This window comes from Homo sapiens, chromosome 9, assembly GCF_000001405.40.
Source record: "Homo sapiens chromosome 9, GRCh38.p14 Primary Assembly".
Classification (NCBI taxonomy): domain Eukaryota; kingdom Metazoa; phylum Chordata; class Mammalia; order Primates; family Hominidae; genus Homo; species Homo sapiens.
Genome location: NC_000009.12, coordinates 110,508,273 through 110,530,397, shown reverse-complemented (window position 1 = coordinate 110,530,397; position 22,125 = coordinate 110,508,273). Strand labels below are relative to the sequence as shown.

General features: G+C 36.0%; 1 protein-coding gene across 1 annotated transcript in view; it reads left to right on the top strand.

Annotated features, from left to right (window-relative positions):
• Positions 1-22,125, top strand: part of SVEP1 (sushi, von Willebrand factor type A, EGF and pentraxin domain containing 1) — a 214,494-nt gene that overhangs the window by 49,344 nt on the left and 143,025 nt on the right. The window contains exons 4-5 of the mRNA NM_153366.4: positions 16,292-16,450; positions 17,293-17,472. Of these exons, the coding sequence (NP_699197.3) occupies positions 16,292-16,450; positions 17,293-17,472 (339 nt within the window). The remainder of the gene's footprint in view (positions 1-16,291; positions 16,451-17,292; positions 17,473-22,125) is intronic.

Genomic DNA, 22,125 nt, shown 5'->3' with positions numbered 1-22,125 from the left:
GGTAGTCATGAAGACATGTCCCTAACGTCCAACCAAGCATGTCTCTGTAGTGACCAGGATATACCAATTTCCAAAATGTAGTTTCTTACAGACCAATATCTCTGATGAACATAGATGCAAAAATCTTTACCAAAATACCAGCAAATCAAATCCAACTGCGCATCAAAAAGACAATTCACTTTAATCAACTGGGTTTCATCCCAGGGATGCAGGGATGGTTCAACATACATAATTCAATAAATATGATTCAGTACATACACAAAACTAAATACAAAAACCACGTGATCATCTCAATAGATGGAGAAAAAGCATTTGATAAAAATCCAGCATCTCTTTATAATAATAACCCTCAGCAAACAAGGCATAAAAGGAACATAACACAAAATATAAAAGCCATATGTGATAAACCTACAGCCAACATACTAAGTGGGAAAAAGTTTAAAACCTTCCCCTTAAGAACTGGAGCAGGACAAAGATGCTCACTTTCAACACTTTATTCAGCATAGTACTGGAAGTCCTCGCCAGAACCATCAGAAAGAAGAACTAAAGAGCATCCAAACTGAAAAAGTGAAAGTCAAACTAACTCTGCTGACGATATGATTTTATACCTAAAAGACTCTAAAGACTCCTCCAAAAGAATCCTAGATTTGATCAATGAATTTAGTAAAGTCTCAGATTACAAAAATCAATATACACAAATCAATAGCACTGCTATACACCACCACCAACAATCAAGCTGAAAATCAAATAAATAACTCAATCTCTTTTACAATAGTAACAAAAAAAAAACAAACTTCCTAGGAATATACGTAACCAAGGAGGTGAACCATCTCTACAAGGAGAACTACAAAACACTGATAAAAGAAACCATAGATGACACAAACAAATGGAAGAACATCCGATGCTTATTAATTGGAAGAATCAATATAAGGAAAATGACCATATTGCTCAATGTAATGTACAGATTCAATGCAATTCCTATCAAAATAACAATGTCATTTTTCACAGAACAAAAAAAGAATCTTAAAATTCATATGGAGCCAAATAAGATCCCAAAGAGCCAAAGCAAAAAGAACAAATATAGAGGCATCACATTACTCAACTTCAAATTATACTACAAAGCTATAGTAACCAAAACAGCATGGTACTGATGTAAAAGTAGACATATAGACCAATGTAACAGAATAGAGAACACAGGAATAAAGCTAAATACAACCAACTGATGTTCAGCAAAGCAGACAAAAATATACACACTGGGGAAAGGACACCCTATTCAATAGCTGGTGCTGGGAAAATTGGATAGCCACATGTAGAAGAATGAAACTGGATACCTGTCTCTCACCGTATAAAAAAATTAACTCAAAATGGATGAAAGACTTAAATCTAAGATCTAAAACCCTGAAAATTCTACAACTAAACCTAGGAAAAACTGTCCTGGACATTGACCTAGGCAAAGAATTTGTGACTAAGACTCCAAAAGCAAATGCAACAAAAATGAAAATTAATAAATTAAAAATTAAAATTCAGTTTTAAAATTAATAAATGTAATTTAAATTTTAATTTAAAATATATTTATTTTAATAAATTGATTTTTAAAGCTTCTGCATAGCCATAATAATAATAATAATCAACAGTAAACAACCTACAGAATGGGAGAAAATATTTGCAAACTATGGACCTGACAAAGGACTAATATCCAGAATGCACAAGGAACTCAAACAAATCAGCAAGGAAAACAAACAAATAAATAATCTCATTAAAAAGTAGACAATCAACTTAGACATTTCTCAAGGAAGATATATAAATGGCCAACAAACATATGAAAAATGCTCAAAATCACTAATTATCAAGGAAATACAGATTAAAACCACAATGAGACACCAGTTTACTCCAGCCAGAATGGCCATGATTAAAAAGTCAAAACATAAAATATGTTGGCACGGATATGGTGAAAAGGAACACTTATATACTGCTATTGGAAATGTAAAGTAGTAAAACCTCTATGGAAAACAGTATGGAGATTTATCAAAAAGCTAAAAGTGGATCTGCCATTCATTCCAGCAATCCCACTACTGGGTATCTACACAAAGGAAAAGCCATTACATAAAGAAGATAAACATGTGTGTTTATCATAGCACAATTCACAATTGCAAAGATACAGAATCAACCTAAGTGCCCATCAATTGATGAGTGGCTAAAGAAAATGTGGCATATATATATATATATATATATATATATATACACACACACACACACACACACACACGTGTGTATGTATGTATATATGTATATGTGTGTATGTGTGTGTGTATATATATATATACATACACCATGGAATACTATTCAGCCATAAAATGAATGAAATAATGTCTTTTGCAGCAACTTTGATGGAGCTGGAGACCATTATCCTAAGTGAAGTAACTCAGGAATGGAAAACCAAATACTGCATGTTCTCACTTATAAGCGGGAGCTAAGCTGTGGGTATGCCAAAGCATACAGTATGGTATAATGGACATTGGAGACTCAGAAGTGGGGAGAGTGGGAGGGGAGTGAGGGATAAAAAAACCTACCTAGTAGTTTTTTATAATTGTGTATGATATATACCATTTGAGTGATGCGTACATTAAAACCCTAGACTTTATCACTATACAATTCATCCATGGAACATAAACCACTTGCACCCCTAAAGCTATTGAAAAAAAATTTTATGAAATTCACTTAAGAAAATTACAAATAGGCAATAAACATAAGTAAATATGCACAATCTCACTAATAATGGACAAATACAAATTAAAATGAAAATATTTCTGAGCCATAGTATTGGCAAACATTAATTGATACTTTCCTCTAATTAAGGATGTAGGTAAATAGGAAGTTTCATACAATGATGATGGAAGTATAAGTTAGTGAATCCTTTATGGAGCACAATTTTTACATTTTTATCAAAATATTAAACATACTATTCACCTCATTAATTTTTAGGAATCGATCATTAAAGAAAAAATAAAAATCCTTTAAAAAATGCAGTTTCTCTGCTTTGAATATTTCTGGATATAACTTGAAATTTTCCTTCCCTGTTTTCTGCTTTTAAAAAAAAATTTTTATTACATTTTTTCTTTTGAAATAATTATAGAGTCACATGCAATTTTAAGAAGTAATATACAGAGATCCTCTATATCCTTTCCCACTTTAAAGGATATCCTCTATATCATTTTCCCCAATGGTAACATCTTGAGATATTATAGTACAGTATCTCAAACAGGATATTGACATCGATATGGTTTCAATACAGAACATTTCTACCACCACAATAATCCTTTTGTTGCTCTTTTAGAGCCACAGTCACTTCCCACCAACCCATAGCCACCGCCTCCACCTTTAACCTATTGTAACCACTAATGTATTCTCTATTTCTATAATTTTGTCATTTCACAAATGTTATATAAATGGAGCCATGCAGAATGTGACATATTGAGCCTGGCTTTTTTCACATGGCATAATTCTCTAGAGATTTTTCCAGATGGTTGTGTGTACCAATAATTCATTTCTTTTTATTGCTGAGTAGTATTTCATAGTATAAATGTACCACAGTTTAACTGTTTGCCTGTTGAAGGACATCTGGATTGTTTCCAGGTTTTGGCTTTTATGAATAAAGCTGCTATACACATTTGTGTATAGGTTTTAATGTGAACATAAGTTTTTAATTCACTAGGCTAAATGCCCAGGAATGTAATTGTGGGATTGCACAGTAGTTGCATATTTTTGTTTAAGAACTTGCCAAAATGTTTTCCAGAGTGGCTGAACTACTTTACATTTCCATCAGAAATGTATGAGTGATCCAGTTTCTCTGCCTCCTTGATAGCACTTGGTGTCGTCACTATTTTTCATTTTAGCTATTCTGATAGGTGTGTTGTGATGACACATTTTGGTTTAATTTGCATGTCCCCAGTGACTAATGATGTTAAACATCTTTTCATATGTTTATTTGCCATCTATATCTTTTCTTCAGTGAACTGTCTCTTCATGTCTTTTGTTCATTGTCTAATTGTTGTTTTTGTTTTTCTACTTTTAAGTTATGAGAGTTCTTTATATAGTCTACATACTAGTCCTATGTCAGATATGTAGGTTGAAAATATTTTCTTCCATTCTGTGGGTTGACTTTTTAGTTCTTCTATGAGAGGCTTTTACAGTGCAAAAATTTTTAAGTTCAAAGTCCAGTTATCAATTTTATTTCTATGAATTCTGCTTTTGGTGTCAAGTCTAAGAACTCTTTGGCTAATACTGGTTCCTGAAGATTTTCTCCTATGTTTCGAAAAGTGTTATAGTTTTATATTTTATACTTAAATCCATGATATTTTTACTTAATTTTTGTATAAGGTTTGAGATTTAGGTCAAGGTTAATTATTGTACTTACGGATGTCTGATTGTTTCAAAACCATTTCTTGAAAAGGCTATCTTTCCTCTGTTAAATTGTTTTTGCACTTTGGTTAAAAATCAGCCAGGTGTAGATGACAGGTTGATGGGTGCAGCAAGCCACCATGGTACACGTATACCTATGTAACAAACCTGCACATTCTGCACATGTATCCCAGAACTTAAAGTATAATTTTTTTAAAAAAGTAAAAAAAAAAAATCAGCCAGGCACATTAGTGTAGCTCTGTTTCTGGATTGCTCTTCTGTTCTGTTGATCTATCAATACTGCATAGTCTTGATTATTATAGCTGTATAATAAGTCTTGAAAGCAAGTAGACTAATTCCTTCTACTGTATTCTTCTTTATAATTGTCTTAGCTAATTTTAATTTCTTTGCCTTCCCATACAAATTTTAGAATATTGTCTACATTTAAAAAAATCTTCTTGGGATTTTCCTCGGAGTTGTATTATATCTGCATATTAATGATGGAAGAATTAACATTTTTACCATGTTGAACTTTCCAATCCACAAACATGATATATTAATTTAGATATTTGATTTCCTTTTCAGCATTGTATAGTATATAAGTTTTGTACATGCTTGCTTTATTATTTTTGAGCAATAGTAAATAATTGTAAACATATTTTTAATTTCATTGTCCACATGTTCACTGCTAGTACATAGAAACAATTGATTTGTGTTTGTTTCCATTGTGTCCTGCAACTTTGCTTAACTTACCTGTTCTAGGAGTGTTTTGGTTTTTTGCTTTTGGTAGAGTACTTGAAATTTCTTATAAGGAGAATCACATCACTTATAAATAGGTTTAGTTGTATTTCTTCCTTTCTAATCCGAATACGTTTTATTTCATTTTCTTCCCTTACTGTTCTGGTTAGAAGTTCCACTACTGTTTTAAAAAAGAATTGCTTTATTTCCAATCATAAGGGGAAAACATTTGGACTTTCATTATTAAGAATAATATTATTTGTGGCTCACACCTGAAGTCCCAGCACTTCGGGAAGCTGAGGCAGGCAGATTGCCAGAGTCCAGGAGTTTGAGACCAGGCTGAGCAACATGGTAAAACCCCATCTCTACAAAAAGTACAAAAATTAGTCAAGCATGGTGGTGCACACAGGTAGTCCCAGCTACATGGGCAGCGAAGGTAAGAGGGTCACTTGAGCCTGAGAGGTTAAGGTTGCAGTGAGCTGTGATTGTGCCACTGCACTCCAGCATGGGTGACAGAGTGAGACCCTGCTTAAAAAAAAAAAAAGTAATAATAATAATAACATTTGTATGATTTTGAGGTTTCTCTTCATTGAGTTGAGTAAATTCTCTTCTGTTACTACTTTTCTGAGAGTTTTCATCATAAATTGGTGACAATTTTGTTTGCAGATATTTTTCTTCATCAATTGACGTGACCTTGTGCATTTTCTTCTTTAGCCTGTTAATATTGTTAACATGATTACATTGATTGATTTCCAAATATTGAACCAGCCTTGCCTCCCTACAATAAACCTGACTTAATCATGATGTATAATTCTTTTTACATATTGCTGAATTCCATTTGCTAACATTTTGTTAAGATTTTTTTGTGTCTATATTTCTAAGATGTTGTTCTGCAGTTTTTTGTTTATTTATACTCTGCATCTCACTTAGGTATCAGGGTAACACTAGCTTGATAAAATGAATTTGGGCATGTTCCCTTCTCTTCTGTTTTTTGGAAGAAATTATGTAGAAGTGGTGCTTATTTTTTTTGGTAGATATTTGGCAAATGTTTGGCAGAATTCTCCACTGAAATCATTTGGACCTGGATATTTTTTGGACATTTTAAAATTATGAATTCAATTTTCTTAACCATAGGGCTATTCAAATTATTTTTAATACTGTATGAATTATCATAGTTTATAATTTTTGATGAATTGGTCTGTTTCATTTGAGTTGTCAGATATGTAAGTAGAGCTGTGCATAGTATATAGTATCTTTTCCATGTCCATGGAGTCTGCTTACCTGATATTGGTAATTTGTGCCTTCTCTCTTTTTCTCTGTATTAGTCTTCCTAAATCATTTTATTATCTTTTCAAAATCTTTATTCTATATTTTCTTTTTTTTCTGTTTTTAATTTTATTGATTTCTGCTCTTATATTTACTATTTCCTTCCCTCTAATTTGGGTTTATTTTGCTCTTCTTTTTCAAGCTTCTTCAGGTGGGAACTTAGATTATCGATTTGAGACTTCTTTTCTAATGCACGCATTTAGCACTATAAATTTCCCCTTCAACTTGCTTCATCTGATATAACATACATTCCTTCTTTCCTTTCATTAATGTTTGCACAATGTATCTTTTTCTATAATTTTACTTTGAACTTGCCTATATTATGTTTAAGTGATTTCTTGTAGACAGCCTGTAGCTGGATCATGTTTTTAATCCCTATCACTTAATTGGTATAGTTAGACTACTTATATTTGATGTAATTATTGATATGGTAGGGCTTAAGTCTGCCAGTTAATTTTTTGTTTTCTGTTTATTCTCTCTGATTTTTATTTCTCTGTTTATTTTTTTCTGTCTTCCTGTGGGTAAATTGAATGTTTTTTAGAATTTTATGATTGAATGAAAATAAAAGTAATATGACATCAAACATATACAAAATGCTATTGGCATTCAAAAATGTTTCCCATTAGTTGTGGGGGTGACAGGATTTCAACTTGGTTTGAATGATAGGATTTGGACAGTTAGAAATGAAGACGACTTGCAGAGAATGAAAAGTATAAGCCTGTGATGGGGACTGGAGGTAGCTTGCATGGGTGGGAAGGTAGGAAAAATCTATGGATATAGTGGGATTCAAGGCAAGACAAGTAAGAGTAAGGACTATATTCTAAATTGTACTGGGACTTGAATTTCAGGCTGAAGACATGGCCTTTGGTAAACTGGCAATAGTGAGCGATTGAAGATCTTGGGGCAGAAAAGTGGCATGATAAAAGCAGTATAACAATAGGAATTTAATTTGGCACCTGTGGCTAAAAGTCACTGAGTGTGAAGCAAAGTAGAAAAGGCAACCTATGTATGGAGGTTAGAGACAATCAAGGCCTAAAATAAAAAGGCTTTTAAATTAGTGTACCAATAATGGAAATGGATAACAACTGATATAATCCGTATTTCCAAACGACTACAGACTAATTTCTTATTGAATGTGAGGTAGAGGAGTGAAGAAAGAAAAATATCAAAGCCAACTACAGCCTGAATGTTACTCATAAGTTACCACTCTTTATAGGACCCAAAGGGAAACACATTTGACAATAAACACCAAACTACACTCAGAATCTTTCCTCCTTCCTAGCTGCTAAAATCAAGGGTCATTAGGGCTGACATATGCCGATTCTCTCTTTCTTTAGGACAGGCGGACATTCAGCAAGTATGCAACAATACAGTTGTAAAAGCTGTTAAAATCCTGAAATACTTATGTGCTGGGTGGTAAATTGCTATTGTTCAAGTGCCTTGAGTGCCTCTTTGCTGATCTGACCCCCTTTGCTGGCCCACTGGCCTATCCCACAATCCAGCATCTATAAAGGTTAACATCTGGCAGATAAGTTGGTATGCAGAACCTTGCTTTGCTGCTACAGTGGATGTCTGATCTAAGTGATCAACAATCATGCCATTCTAAATTGTAATTTTTTTAATGTTATCCCCACCATGGATGGAGTTTTCTCCCAGAAGGCTCTCAAATTCTTCACACAAATCAACTTCTGTTGGGCCTACACAAGTCTGAATCCCAGGGATGGATCTAATCTAGGTTCAAGTTGAAACCCTGTTGCAACTGAAGTTCACAGACCTTCATATTTAAATAATTATCCATTGGTAATTTTTAAAACTGCTAATACCCAGTGAAAATGAAGAGTACAATAAGTCATGTACTTTCAGTCTTGATAATGGGAATATAAAGTAGTTTAACAAGAGACTCGTGAGTTTAAAAATTTAATATTCCTTTGCCTAAGAAAATTTTTAAAAAATGGATCAAATATTTAAGGGAAAAAAATGTTTAGAGAAAAGCTGTTCAAGTTTGTAAAAAATTAGAATCAACCTAAGTGTCAAACATTAAAAGAGTAGTTAAACCAAAATTGTTTAGCAATTTTTTTCTCTTTCTTACATGATTCTGAGTTATTAGCTATTTTAGAAAAGAAAAATAACGTTAAAGATAATTCTAAAAAATCTCCAGAGGGCCTCTCCTAAAAGTACTTGCCAATGAAATTTTAATTATAAAAATCAGGATGATGTCACCTTTCTCATCCAGATGGTAAACACTTTAAGACAATAAAGAATACAGAGCTTTCAACAACAAAGGATTCATTTAAATGTTCTCTACACAGCTGGTTGTATTGATGTGTGAATATATGTGTGTATTTTTGAGTGTGTATGTGTGCATACACATATATTGATCCCCAACATATAAAAATTACTTTGCTGATGCAACCTCTTTTGTACACAGTCCTTTGAGGTTTTTGTTTTTTGATAGACTTGTCCTGATCCATCACTAATCTCCTGGCAAGTCTGAGCGTGTGCTTACATTTGCAATATGGCATCCTGTAGTTAGGGTGCCATTTCCTGCCATGGCACCACATCAGGGTTCAGATTCACAACTTTGTCCAAATAGTCTGTACTCTGGCCAAATGAGCTACCACCAGTCACAGGGAGAACGACAGGCTGCTAATGCATTCTACAGAGGTACAGATGTATAGAATTCAGGGCAATTGAAAGTCTCCTTGTCTAATTCATTGAGGAAAATAGAAAGGATCTTGGCTGCCTCATAAAAAGAAAGTCCCTATATGCACACCTGGGTCCTTGTCTTATTTTTGAAAACATTGGTTCAACATGGAGAAAACACGTTCTGTTCTAGAGCAGTGTATTCCTATGTTCAAAATCTTAGCACAACTCTTTGTAGGAACAGATTCCTCATTCAGATCAAATCCATAAAGTCGAAAAGAGAATGCGGGCCCAGATTTTGCTTGGTTTCTTACCTATTTATAGCAGAAAGTAGAGGCTTGGTGTTGTACAACTCCAGGGGATGCCATTATTATTCACATAAACAGGCACCCTTGAAGTTGTGGAGTGCACAGCCTAAATGCAGCTCATGCAACTGCCCTAAAACTCTTTAAAGTGATTTGTTAACTTTTAAAGATGAATTGTGCAAGGAAATAAAGGCTCCTAATATTTATCAGGATTTTTAGAAGTTAATCTAAGACATGTATGAGGAGAAATTTTGTAAAATGTAAGTCACTGTCTAATATATGTTATTAATAGTAAAATAGTCATCTAAGGAATTGATATTTAACGGGTAAGATATATTAGAAAGAGTAGAGATTTCTTTGTGTTTTACAAATTCCAAACTGGTTGGTGTTTTTATTTACTTCAGTCAAAGAATTGCATGGTCAGCTGAAGAAAAATCTAATGTTAGTACAACGTGATAACCTCAAGAATTCACACTTCCAGTAATAGTAGCTGATAACCGCCAAGATGTTTCTGAAAAGAGAAAGTGCTTATTTTAACAACAACAAAAGAACAATTAAGAAATAATATTTGGTACATTTCCAGGAAGGAAACATCGCATATTAAAAAGGGAAAACAATTCATAGCCCTTTACGGAGACTTGTGAAACTTGTTCAAACCAAAGATTTATTTCATTTTTTTCAACTTTTGCTTGGTTTGGGATGAGGAATTTTCCCCCTTGGGAATCAAGGAAGTTGATTACACCTCTCCCACTAGAATTGTGCAATGCCTTTAAATAGTTCTCCTAAAGTCTGTTTTTCATTATCATTATGAATTTCACAATACATTTCCAAATGTACTTTTGGGTATTTTTATTCAAAACTCTGTTCGCCAGTGTTTTAAACTCTTGATTATTTAAAAGATTTTGGAGAGTAATACTATAAGATTAGGTCCTTTTCATGCAGCATTATTTTAAAAAATAATTTATAAAATCTGTAGCCAGAATCTGACCATTCATATGGAGGATTTCTTTAAGTTGCTTTTTAGTATTATTCTATTTATGGAATCATCTTATGTTAGCCTTGGAAAGATCATAGACATCCTTACTTGTAACTTCTGTATATTATAGTGAAAGAAAAAAAAAGTCACTTGCCAGTGACCCCATAGCTTGTTAGTGGAAGAGCCAAGATTGCAACTCAGTTGTCTTGACTCCAAGTCTACTGTCCCTTCACTTCATTCTGTTGTTAGTCTTCCTGACTTTACTACTCTCCTTGCACACCAAACCCACCCTCCACTCTCCATCAGGGCTTGTTTTCTTTTGCCCTCCTTTGATTGAGTGACTGCCAGCTCAGGCAATTGGCTGGACAATGGCCAGGTCAGGTAATTGGAAGACTCTTTGAATATACAGGAGCACACTTCCCACTGAAGGAATGAGAAACCTGTGTGTTACAAAGAGTGTGATGTGTGCCAGTGCAGAGGAATGGGTAGTGTACTCTGTGGGTTCCGCGAGAAGGCAACAAAATTTGTCTGAAGAAGTTAGAGAACCTTTAAAGAATGAGTTAGAGTCTTGAAGGATGCTGGAGATTCACTCAGAAGCAGGAAGGCAGAAATGCAGAAGTGGAAGATAGGAAAGGGAAAGAAAGGAAGGTAATATTTACCAAGCGCCAGAGCATCTATCTGGCACAACAAATCTATAAAAGCAGTATAATCATCTATTTTATGGTTGAGAAAATGAAGGGTTGGAGACATTATTCTAACATTTCCCAAATGCCAACAACATGCCAGGCATTGTTGCTTTACTCACATGACCTCAATTAATCCTAACAACAACAACAAAAATATACAAGGAAAGTACTACTACTATTACACACGAAGAAACCAAGTCACAGAGAAATGAAGTAAATTGCTCAAACTCCCCAAAAATGTGGTGGGAGTCAGGGGAAGGGGACAGTACAAAACTAGGCACTAGTTGATCTTGAAGCAGGTTCTAACCAGCTTATGATATGCTGGTTCATTGCAGCTGCAGAGGTGGGAAGGTTACAGACAGATCAAAGATATCTTTATATTCCAGGCTAAAGAGAGAGGGGCTTATCTGGTTGGTACAGGCTTTAGGTGGAAAATGATTTGACTGAATTTATAGTTTTGAAAATTGTTCAGGTCGCAACATCACAAATGGATTGAAGGGTAGAGGTAAGGCCAAGGGACTAGTAAGGAGGATGTTGTAAAAACCAGAAGAGAGATGATGAGGTCGCATCTAAGATAAAAGTAACGTAGAAGATTTTTAGGGAATAAGAACCAAAGAACATAAGTTTTATTTAGATATTGAAGGAGATAGAGGAGGAATGAGAAATCATAGTGGTCTCCAAGGTCAGAGAGCCGATAACCATGAAATGAAATCTATGATTTGAAGCTGGGCATGGTGGTATGTGCCTGTTGTCCTAGCTATTTGGGAGGCTGAGGTGGGAGGTTTGAGAGTTTGAGCGCAGCCTGGTTAAAGAGCAAGATGGTGTCTACAAACAAACAAACAAAATATATGATTTGAGACAATACTCTCTTTTATATATAACTGCATTTACTTTTTTTTTTTTTGAGATGGAGTCTTCCTCTGTCACCCAGGCTGGAGTGCAATGGCGCTATCATGGCTCACTGCAACCTCCGTCTCCCAGGTTCAAGTGATTCTCCTGTCTCTGCCTCCCAAATAGCTGGATTACAGGTGTGCACCACCATACCCGGCTAATTTTTGTATTTTTAGTAGAGACGGGGTTTCACCATGTTGGCCAGGCTAGTCTCGAACTTCTGACCTCAGGTGATCGGCCCGCCTTATCCTCCCAAAGTGCTGGGATTACAGATGTGAGCCACCGTGCTGGGCCTAACTTCATTTACTTTTGGTTTTGCCCACATAATACCTATTCATTGTAACAAAACTAGAAAATGTAGATCAGCAAAAATAAACAAACCTGAAAGCCTGATAATTCTCTCATGAATACATACCTTGTAAAACCATAAAGATAATTTTCTTCAAGTCTCATATATTAAATATGTATTTATAAGCCAAATAGAATCTTTTGCTTTCTTAGACTTTCTTTAGTATTTGTTTTCATTTCCACAATTATTTTAGTTAGCAATTTACTATATGTTCCACAGGTTTTCTAATCTCAAACTATTAATTAAGTACCTTTTTTTCTCGTTCTTGAAATCTTTTTTTAATTTCTTTCTCAGTAAATGAAGTATGGCTTTTTTTTTTTTTTTTTTTTTTTTTAAGAGCCAGGTTCTTGGTCTATCATCCAGGCCCCAGGCTGGATTGCAGTGGTGCAATTGTAGCTCATTGCAGCGCCTTAGCCTCCCAAGCAGCTGAGGCTACAGTCAAGCACCACCATGCTCACCTAATTTTTTACATTTTTTTTTTTTTTTTTGAGATAGCGTCTTGCTCAGCCACCCAGGCTGGAGTTCAGTGGTGTGATCTTGGCTCACTGCAACCTCCGCTTCCCGAGTTCAAGTGATTCTCCTGCCTCAGCCTCCCAAGTAGCTGGGATTACAGACAACTGCCACCATGTCCAGCTAACTTTTGTATTTTTAATAGAGATGGGGTTTCACCATGTTGGCCAGGGCAGTCTTGAACTCCTGACCTCAGGTGATCCACCCACCTCGACCTCCCAAATTGCTGGGATTATAGGCATGAGCCACCCATGCCCAGCCTAATTTTAAAAATATTTTTAAGAGATGGGTGTAGCTATGTTGCCCAGGCTGGTATTGAAACTCTTGGGCTCAGGTAATCCTCCTGCCTCAGCCTCCCAAAGTGCTAGAATTACAGCCGTGAGCCACCATGCCTGGACATAAAATAAAATGGCTTTGTTTTCTAAGCTATGCACATCCTCGAATGTCTTTCTCTTCCCACCTACTTACCAATAGCTTGCCCACATAATAAAACTTGGGGTTCATAATTTTTTTCACAAAGCTATGTATCTTATTCAGTTTTTTCCTGGCATTTGTTTTTGCAAAGAAAAAATGAAATATCAATCTGATTTTCCCCTTTATGAGTATCTTAATTTCCTTTCCTATAAGCTTGCAATATTTTTCTTTCATCCTGGATGTGACTTTTGTTAATTTTTCCTGGAACTTAATGAGTACTTTTGCACTAAAGCTCCAGGTTAGGAATATATCTCTGCATTAATATCATAACCATTACTTCTCATATCTTTGCATTAATGTATCTTTGCACTAATATCACAACCATTACTTCTACTCAATTCTCTTGTTCTGGAGTTATATGGCTTCTTTTTACTGGCCCAATGACAATTCTAATTTTTCATTTACATTTTAAACTTTCTTTTCTATCTCTCTATTTATCTTGATCATTTTCTTCTACAGCTGCTGACTCCTGTTTAAAGGAAACCACGTTGTCCTTTATCTCTTTGAGGATCCTGATCAGATATTTACTGATATTTTATAGAAAGAAATATTACAATATTAATATTCAGTAATATAAATAATTCAGTAGTTCAATATCGCTAATACAGTGCTTCAAAGTAGTGTTTCCTTTATGCTAAATTATTTATCATGTCTTATATCATTATTACTATTTTTAAGTGTTTCCTTCATTCATAGTCACAAATCTCTCCAGATCTGGAATTTGCTACTATATATCATGAGAAAATGGTATCTTTTGTTTTTAAACAAAGTCAAGAATTTTAGAAGCATGGCTTTTCAAATAATGACATATTATGAATCCCACCTTTCAATATGATTTTTTTAGTATATTGTAATGTTTTAGTTTTAGTTTATTATAATGTTTTAGTATATTATATTTTTATTTTATATTTTAGTTTTAGTTTATTATATGATTTAGTTTTAGTATATTATATTTTAGTTTTAGTATATTATAATGATTTAGTATATTATAATGATTTAGTATATTATAATGATTTAGCTTTAGCATCCAAGGGGCCTGGGTTTGACTCACAGCACGTGTAGTGGTAAAGAACATGGACTCTGGTTCTGAATTGTCTGGATTCAAATCCTAGCTCTGCCACTTAACTCACTGTGTAACTATGACAAGTTATTTAAACTCTTAGTGCCTTTGTCTTCCCATCTGCAAATGGGATTAATAATATTAGGTGCTTCATAAGGTATTAGGAAGTTAACAAGTTAATATTTATAAAATATATAGAACAGTCCCTAGGACATAGTGAATGGTATATAAATATTTGCTTTAAAATTCTATCTCTGTCACCCACTAACTGAGTAACTATAGTCGTCATTGAATCTCTCTAAGCCTCCATTTTCTGATGTTTAAAATGGATATAATAATACTAATGAAATTAATGCAAATATTGATAGTATTAATCTTGTAATGCTGCTTATTAATACTGTGAGGATTAAATGAGATAATTTATGTAAAATATCCCCACATAGGCCGGGCGCGGTGGCTCACGCCTGTAATCCCAGCACTTTGGGAGGCTGAGGCGGGCGGATCATGAGGTCAGGAGATTGAGACCATCCTGGCTAACACGGTGAAACCCCGTCTCTACTAAAAATACAAAAAATTAGCCAGGCGTGGTGGCGGGTGCCTGTAGTCCCAGCTACTTGGGAGGCTGAGGCAGGAGAATGGCACGAACCAGGGAGGCAGAGGTTGCAGTGAGCCGAGACCGCACCACTGCACTCCAGCCTGGGGGACAGAGCGAGACTCCGTCTCAAAAAAAAAAAAAAAAAAAAAATCCCCACATAAATGCACATTGCTTGGTTGCAACTGTTATTTAATAATGAAATGCAACCTGGGACTATGCCACATTTAATTGGCTTAACTGAGCATTGCAAGTCTCTTGATTCCACAATTGCTCTATTATTGAATTTCTGAAATTTAAATTATTTTACAGATGCATAACTCCAGAGGGATTAAGTTACAAATTCAAAGCTACATTGTCTGTGCAGAGGAAAGATTTGAAGCAAGGTCAATTAGATTCTGCTTTTAATCTTTTTTTTCCATGAGCCTGGGAAAAGCAGTGTCTTTAATTCTTTTTTCTTCAAAGGGCCTAGTTCCTGTCGGTTGGATTATGTCCCTCAAGCTCTTCACTTTCTCCTCATCCTTTCTCAAGATCTGTGAACAGAAACAATGGGCTAAGTGCTTTTTGCGTATCTGCAGTTATTCTCCTTTGCTAAGAGAGGAGCTGGGGCTCAGTGCTAGAGATGAGGTGCACAGGATGGGGGAGTTGGGCTATAGGGGACATCATACTTATCAAAGTTTTTTTTATCTATTGAGGATCATTGATTCCTCCTGGTGACTTAATATAAATTGCTATTTTGAATTTTCCCACAAATCAGCCCAGACATTTCATGCTGTGTTGTGTTGTATTTGAAACTAATTGTGGGACATAAGAGGCCACTTCATACCTTGCAAATAACAAATTACATCATTCTTTAGAAAACAAAAATGTTGGTTTCTCTCTTTGCTTAAATTATATTACGATTTCTTTTTCTTTCTTTCTTTTTTTTTTTTTTTTGAGATGGAGTTTTGCTCTTGTTGCCCAGGCTGGAGTGCAGTGGTGCTATCTCAGCTCACCGCAACCTCCAGCTCCCAGGTTCAAGCGATTCTCCTGCCTTGGCCTCCTGATTAGCTAGGATTACAGGCACACGCCACCACACCCAGCTAATTTTTTGTATTTTTAGTAGAGACAGGGTTTCATCATGTTGGCCAGGCTGGTCTCAAACTCCTGACCTCAGGTGATCCACCCGCCTCTGCTTCCCAAAGTACAGGGATTACAGGCGTGAGCCACCACACCCAGCCTACATCACCATTTCTATGGAAAACTATTGTTTGGCTTTCTCTCCCATATTAATTTCAAATGTTTTGTTAACTACCAGCTGATGTGCCACATAACATGGACTTCTCCGGCTTGTCTGCCCACAGCTTGCCCATCGGGGACATACAAACCTGAAGGCTCACCAGGAGGAATCAGCAGTTGCATTCCATGTCCTGATGAAAATCACACCTCTCCACCTGGAAGCACATCCCCTGAAGACTGTGTCTGCAGAGAGGGATACAGGGCATCTGGCCAGACCTGTGAACGTGAGTCTCCCACTGTTGGAAAATGGGAAATATAAAAGCTGATTTCTCTGAGAGAAATAGTGCTTGTGTTTGCACCTAATTCATTTAGAATGATCTTTAATGTTCTTTTCTCTAATCATATTTTTTGGGGGAGTGGGATGATTTGCTTTTATAACATTCTTATCACGGAACATATCTCTATCCTGCTCCAGAGAAAGGGGAACTGAGATGCTGGGAATAACATCACCTTGAAATCAGAAAGGCTTAGTACTTGGAAAACATTTAAAATGAATCAAAAAAAGAAAAGCCACAATTTTAACAACAAATTTGAATAAAAATGAGCTCATCTTGGCTCTGGAGATAGTCACATTTATCTTTGAAATAATATATTTTTATAAGTAAAGGGTCTCAGTATTATTCATGTCAAAAATTACAAATATTTAAATAGCATATACCATGTGCAAGAAGCTGTGGCTCTTGGGGTTTGTAGCAAATATACTTTGCTAGCCTTATTTGTTCTTTGTTTTATTCTACCTTAGTCAAGAGGGAAAATATCTAATGACATATAAAGGTCAAGAACTATAAAATCTCATATCCATATAGATATCAAAATAAATTTTTTAAAGCTTAACAAATAATATTTAGTTTGTATTTAAAATTTAATTGGAAGTTAGTACCTAATAGGAGTCAGATATAAGGGTTCTTCTTCCAAATATGTACTTGAAAATCCAAATGCGGTAAATGGAAATGCTGTAGGCAATTGACACATATGCATAAATGCCCCCTTGAAAGAAAAAAAAAAAAGGATATGTCATAGACAAAAGGCTAACTTTGCTTTTCAATTTTATTTTTGTAAATGTTAGTTGTCCACTGCCCTGCCCTGAAGCCTCCCGAAAATGGTTACTTTATCCAAAACACTTGCAACAACCACTTCAATGCAGCCTGTGGGGTCCGATGTCACCCTGGATTTGATCTTGTGGGAAGCAGCATCATCTTATGTCTACCCAATGGTTTGTGGTCCGGTTCAGAGAGCTACTGCAGAGGTATGCAAACTGCCAATTTACATTGTTTATTTACTGTCTTGCCTGATTTCCTTGATTTAAACTCTAGTAAACCAGTCAGTTCTTCATTTCTTTTTGGATTTCATAGACCCCATACTACAGAAAGAGAAAAATTATAGGAAATTTGAAATCAGAATTACCAAGTTCAATTGACCACATAATTGTAAACTACGCCTTTTATAGCCCTTTTATGAACAAGCAAAGAAAAAGTTTGCCTGGGAAGTAAATGGACAGGTTACCCCAAACCTCAAATTTCAAGCCTCTAAGACATGATATAAAGGAGAGTTTAGAATAATCAGAGTGGAGACTGATGCCTCTTGGAATTGTAGGACTTAAGGAATCACACAAGTATCCTGCAACAAGAGCAGTTAGCCAACTTGTAATCTCCAGCCTTTACTTCGGCTAGTCGACCCGTTATAGAAAGTAGAGAATTTGTCAAAGCGAGAGTCCAAGGAGCCTATTCAGGCCAATAGAAAGTGGGCACCACCAATGGAATCTGAGGCTCCCATGTCAAATACAGAGAAGCAATAAAAAAAAAAAAATAGTGCCTCAATCTGCCTCAACTTGCCAACTCCAGGACCTACTTTCCTACTTCTTACAACTGTCACACAACCAACTTCCTAGGGTTTTACAAGTAGGGTTAGAAGAGGAGGATATTTAAGAAAAGGTAAAAGGGGGGCGAGCAAAGGGACTTGAGGACCTCCATCAGAATCCCTGCCCACAAAGCTTCTCAGTACAGTACCTGCTCCCTACCTACGGTTGCCAGTTGAAACACAGGATGCCAGTTAAATTTGAATTTTTGATAAATAATATTTTAGTATATGTGGGTCCCCTGCAAGATTTGGAACCTCCTTATACTAAAAAATTATTTGTTGATTTTCTGAAATTTAAATTTAACTGGGCGTGCTGGTTCATTGGTTTGTTTGTTGCTAAATCTGGCAACTTTACTCCCACCACATCCACTAGTCATTTTTTGGCAGAACACTTTGCTGAGGATTTGACTACTCCAAAACCCCACAAATCAGCTGGACCACTGGTTAAAGATTAGTTCTGTCTTCTGGTCTTTTCTTGGCATCCATATCCATAAGGGAGAACCACCTACTCATGACTCCAAGATCATTTGTGAATCCCAGGAGACATCTATGTTGGTACCAATTTATTAGGTACCAATACTGAACTCATCTATAAATGTAAATTGGCCTACATGGTATCCCCAAAAGACAAGGAAAACTGAAAACGATCAGCAGATTGAACAAAAGAGACCTGACAGAAAAGAAAGAAAAATGGAATCACTGAGATTCAAAGGCAACTACATTGCTAAAATAAGGCCAGGATTCCAAGCAATGAAAGAAATTTGAGAGGAAAAATATGTATTAGAAGTAAAAAAAAAAAAAAAAAAAAAAAAAAAAAAAAAAAAAAGGTACTGACACAATGAATGGACCTAGTTAGAAGTCAAATTAATAAATTAGAAAACTAACTCAAGAAATTCATTTGAAGGTCAATCAAAAAAATCCAAAAATAAAAATATGAAAGAATAAAGTAACATGAGAATAGTCACAGGAAATAGACTCTTTTCACGTGAGGAATCCAGAGAGAGAACAGAATGGAGGAGATGCACCAGTAGAAGATCTAAAGATATATCCCTGAGCTGAAATTTTGAAAATACTCACAACCCAAATCTTGGATATTCAGTTTAAAATCACTTAGTAAGTGCCACAAAAAAAATATTAAAAACAGATTTATGTCGGGAAATAATCTTAGTGAATTTTCTGAATGCCCTAGAAAAACAGAAAACTGTGTCCATTTCATAGTTAGAAACAACACTACCTACCAAGGAGAAAGAATCAGATTAGCCTTAGGCCCCTTTGTTGGCCATTCTCAATGTTAGAAAATAAGACTGTGTTGCCAGGATTCTGAGGGAAAAGAATAGACCCTAGATTTCTAAACTCAGGCAAGCTACTGTTCATGTGTGAAGGCAAAGGAAAGACATTTTCAGTCATGCAGCCTCAAGTGGTAAAAAGCCACATACCATTACTGAAAAAATGAATCCTTGAAAGCTTGTAAAATATATTTTCGTGAAGTCAATAGTTCTAAGTTCTGTGTAAAATCTTTACCCCTTCTTCCAAATACCTTACGGTAGAGGATGGGAAATATTACATTTTAACTTGCCACTCAGTAGCCTTCCAAAGAGGAGTGAGAAAATCAGAGAAGACTGCCCTTTCAGGATAAGGTCTGGCCCCTGCCTCTCAAGCCTGCACCCTCCATAATCAAGCCTCGCGTCTGATCCTAAAGCTGTAAGAAATAGCCATGCTCTCTCAGGAAGCCGGCCCTTTGAAGCTGTTCCCACAGCCTGGCTCTGCCTTTGCTCTGGGTCCTCTCAACCCTCCACTGTTGCCAACTTCCTCCTCCTGAATGGGGTGACCTCTACACGTGCATCTGTGCATCTGCAGACCTGCCCCCACCCCTCATTATGTTTCTTATGCTATGTGTCAGGGTCAGTCAAGGAAGCACAGTCACCATGCATGTTATGGGATGAAGGATTTATTTCAGGGAATAGAGCTTACACAATTTTAGAAGGAGCTTGGAAACAGAAGAGGAGTGGGAGGATCAGAGGAGTTCTTGACAAGTCAACTTGAGAGGCTACCCAGCTTTTGAAGTGGAATTGCTAAGGAGAAACTCATGGAAGGTCTAAGAGAAGCTTTACCTCTGTGTAGTTATGCCCCTGTGGCTCTGCAGCCAAGAACCTTGCAATGAACATGGGGCCACCACTGGTCATGGGATCAGCAGTGAGGACGTGGAATGGAGGCAAGCAAGGGCAAGCTGGAACCCCCTGGGCATCACTGCATTTTTCTATCACTGACTCTGATGACAATGACCACTTCCTCACTTCTGCCTTCCAAAATCAAGTGCAAGTTCCTCTTTTGATCAACCCTAACTTGGAACCACAATAAAGGGATTCTGGCAAACATATTTCCCAATGTAACTAACTTGTCACAATACAAAGCATCACACTTTTATTGGTAATTAACTTGTCTACCTCCTCTGCTAAACCAAATTCATTATGAGCACAGAATTTATTTCTGCCCCTCAATCATTGATGATATCTCTGGTGAATGAATGGAAACTTGAAGTTAACAAATACACATATCGATAAATGTATACGTTGATGTACATTGATAACTACAGTATATACATTGATGACCTGCTTCTGTCACTTCATATTAAAAACCATGCATGGGTGTGATGGCACAAGCTTGTAATCCCAGCTACTTAGGAGACTGAGGCAGCAGGGTCACTTGAACACAGGAGTTGGAGGCTGCAGTGAGCCATCATCACACAACTGTACTCCAGCGTGGGTGATAGATTGAGACCTTGACTACAAAAAAGCATGCTTGTTCTCTTTTATGTAATTTCAATTGCAATTCCAATATAAATAAAATAATTTAAAGCAGAGTAAGGAGAGATGCTACAATTCAACTTCACCACCAAAGCTACAGCTAACTTACCAGTATACAAAGTTGTACTGAATGAAGGTACTTACCCAGGCCCTTACACTTTCACTAATGCTCAGTGTATTTAGTTACATCAGATATTGTTCTATGAAACGCATACCATATTTCACTAAATCTGAAACACATGCCATATTTCACTAAATCTGAAACACATTTTTTAAAACATTTTAACATCTCTAAAATGGAGATGCATCTTAAAATCAGTTGCAGCAAACCCTTTAATTGGCATTATTGTTTCTTTGTTAGTGGCACATAAAATAATGTTGTGTCTTACAATGGGGATTCAATGAAATATGGCCGTTGGGTAGGATTTCATGTCTGTTTCATGGTGGGTAGTATGGAGAAAGTAGTATATTTTTACAGATTTAATTATAAGAACAGTGAATAATTTTAGTTATATTATACTTTCTCAAAAATATGTGTAAGATTGAGGCAGAAATGAAAGACCTGCATAAAATCTAAAGCCTTTTACAAATATCATGTTACATTGTTAATGTTTTTGTGGATGTTGACTAATAATTGGTAAACTTGATTCTCACTTCTCCTATGCACTTTTCATAAAGCACTTATACTCATTTTCAGTTTTATCTGAATTCTGCATTTCTTTCTTTCTTTTTTTTTTTTTTTTTTTTTTTGAGATGGAGTCTCGCTCTGTTACCTAGGCTGGAGTGCAGTGGCACGATCTCGGCTCACTGCAAGCTCCGTCTCCTGGGTTCACGCCATTCTCCTGCCTCAGCCTCCCGAGTAGCTGGGACTACAGGCACCCGCCACCATGCCCGGCTAATTTTTTGTATTTTTAGTAGAGACGGGGTTTCACCATGTTCGCCAGGATGGTCTCAATCTCCTGACCTCATGATCCACCCGCCTCAGCCTCCCAAAGTGCCGGGATTACAGGCGTGAGCCACCGCACCCGGCCAGAATTCTGCATTTCTTTCTAAACAGGAAAGGATTCTTTTGTGGTTTCTCAATCTTAACTAACTAAACCTGAGTAAAAAGGTTCAACCAATGAGAACCTTACATTTAACATCAGATTTATTTTATTTTCAGTAATAGATATCACAATTTGGAGACTAATAGGAAGCACGTGCCTGGAAAAAAAAAAATCTGATTAGTCTTTAAGATG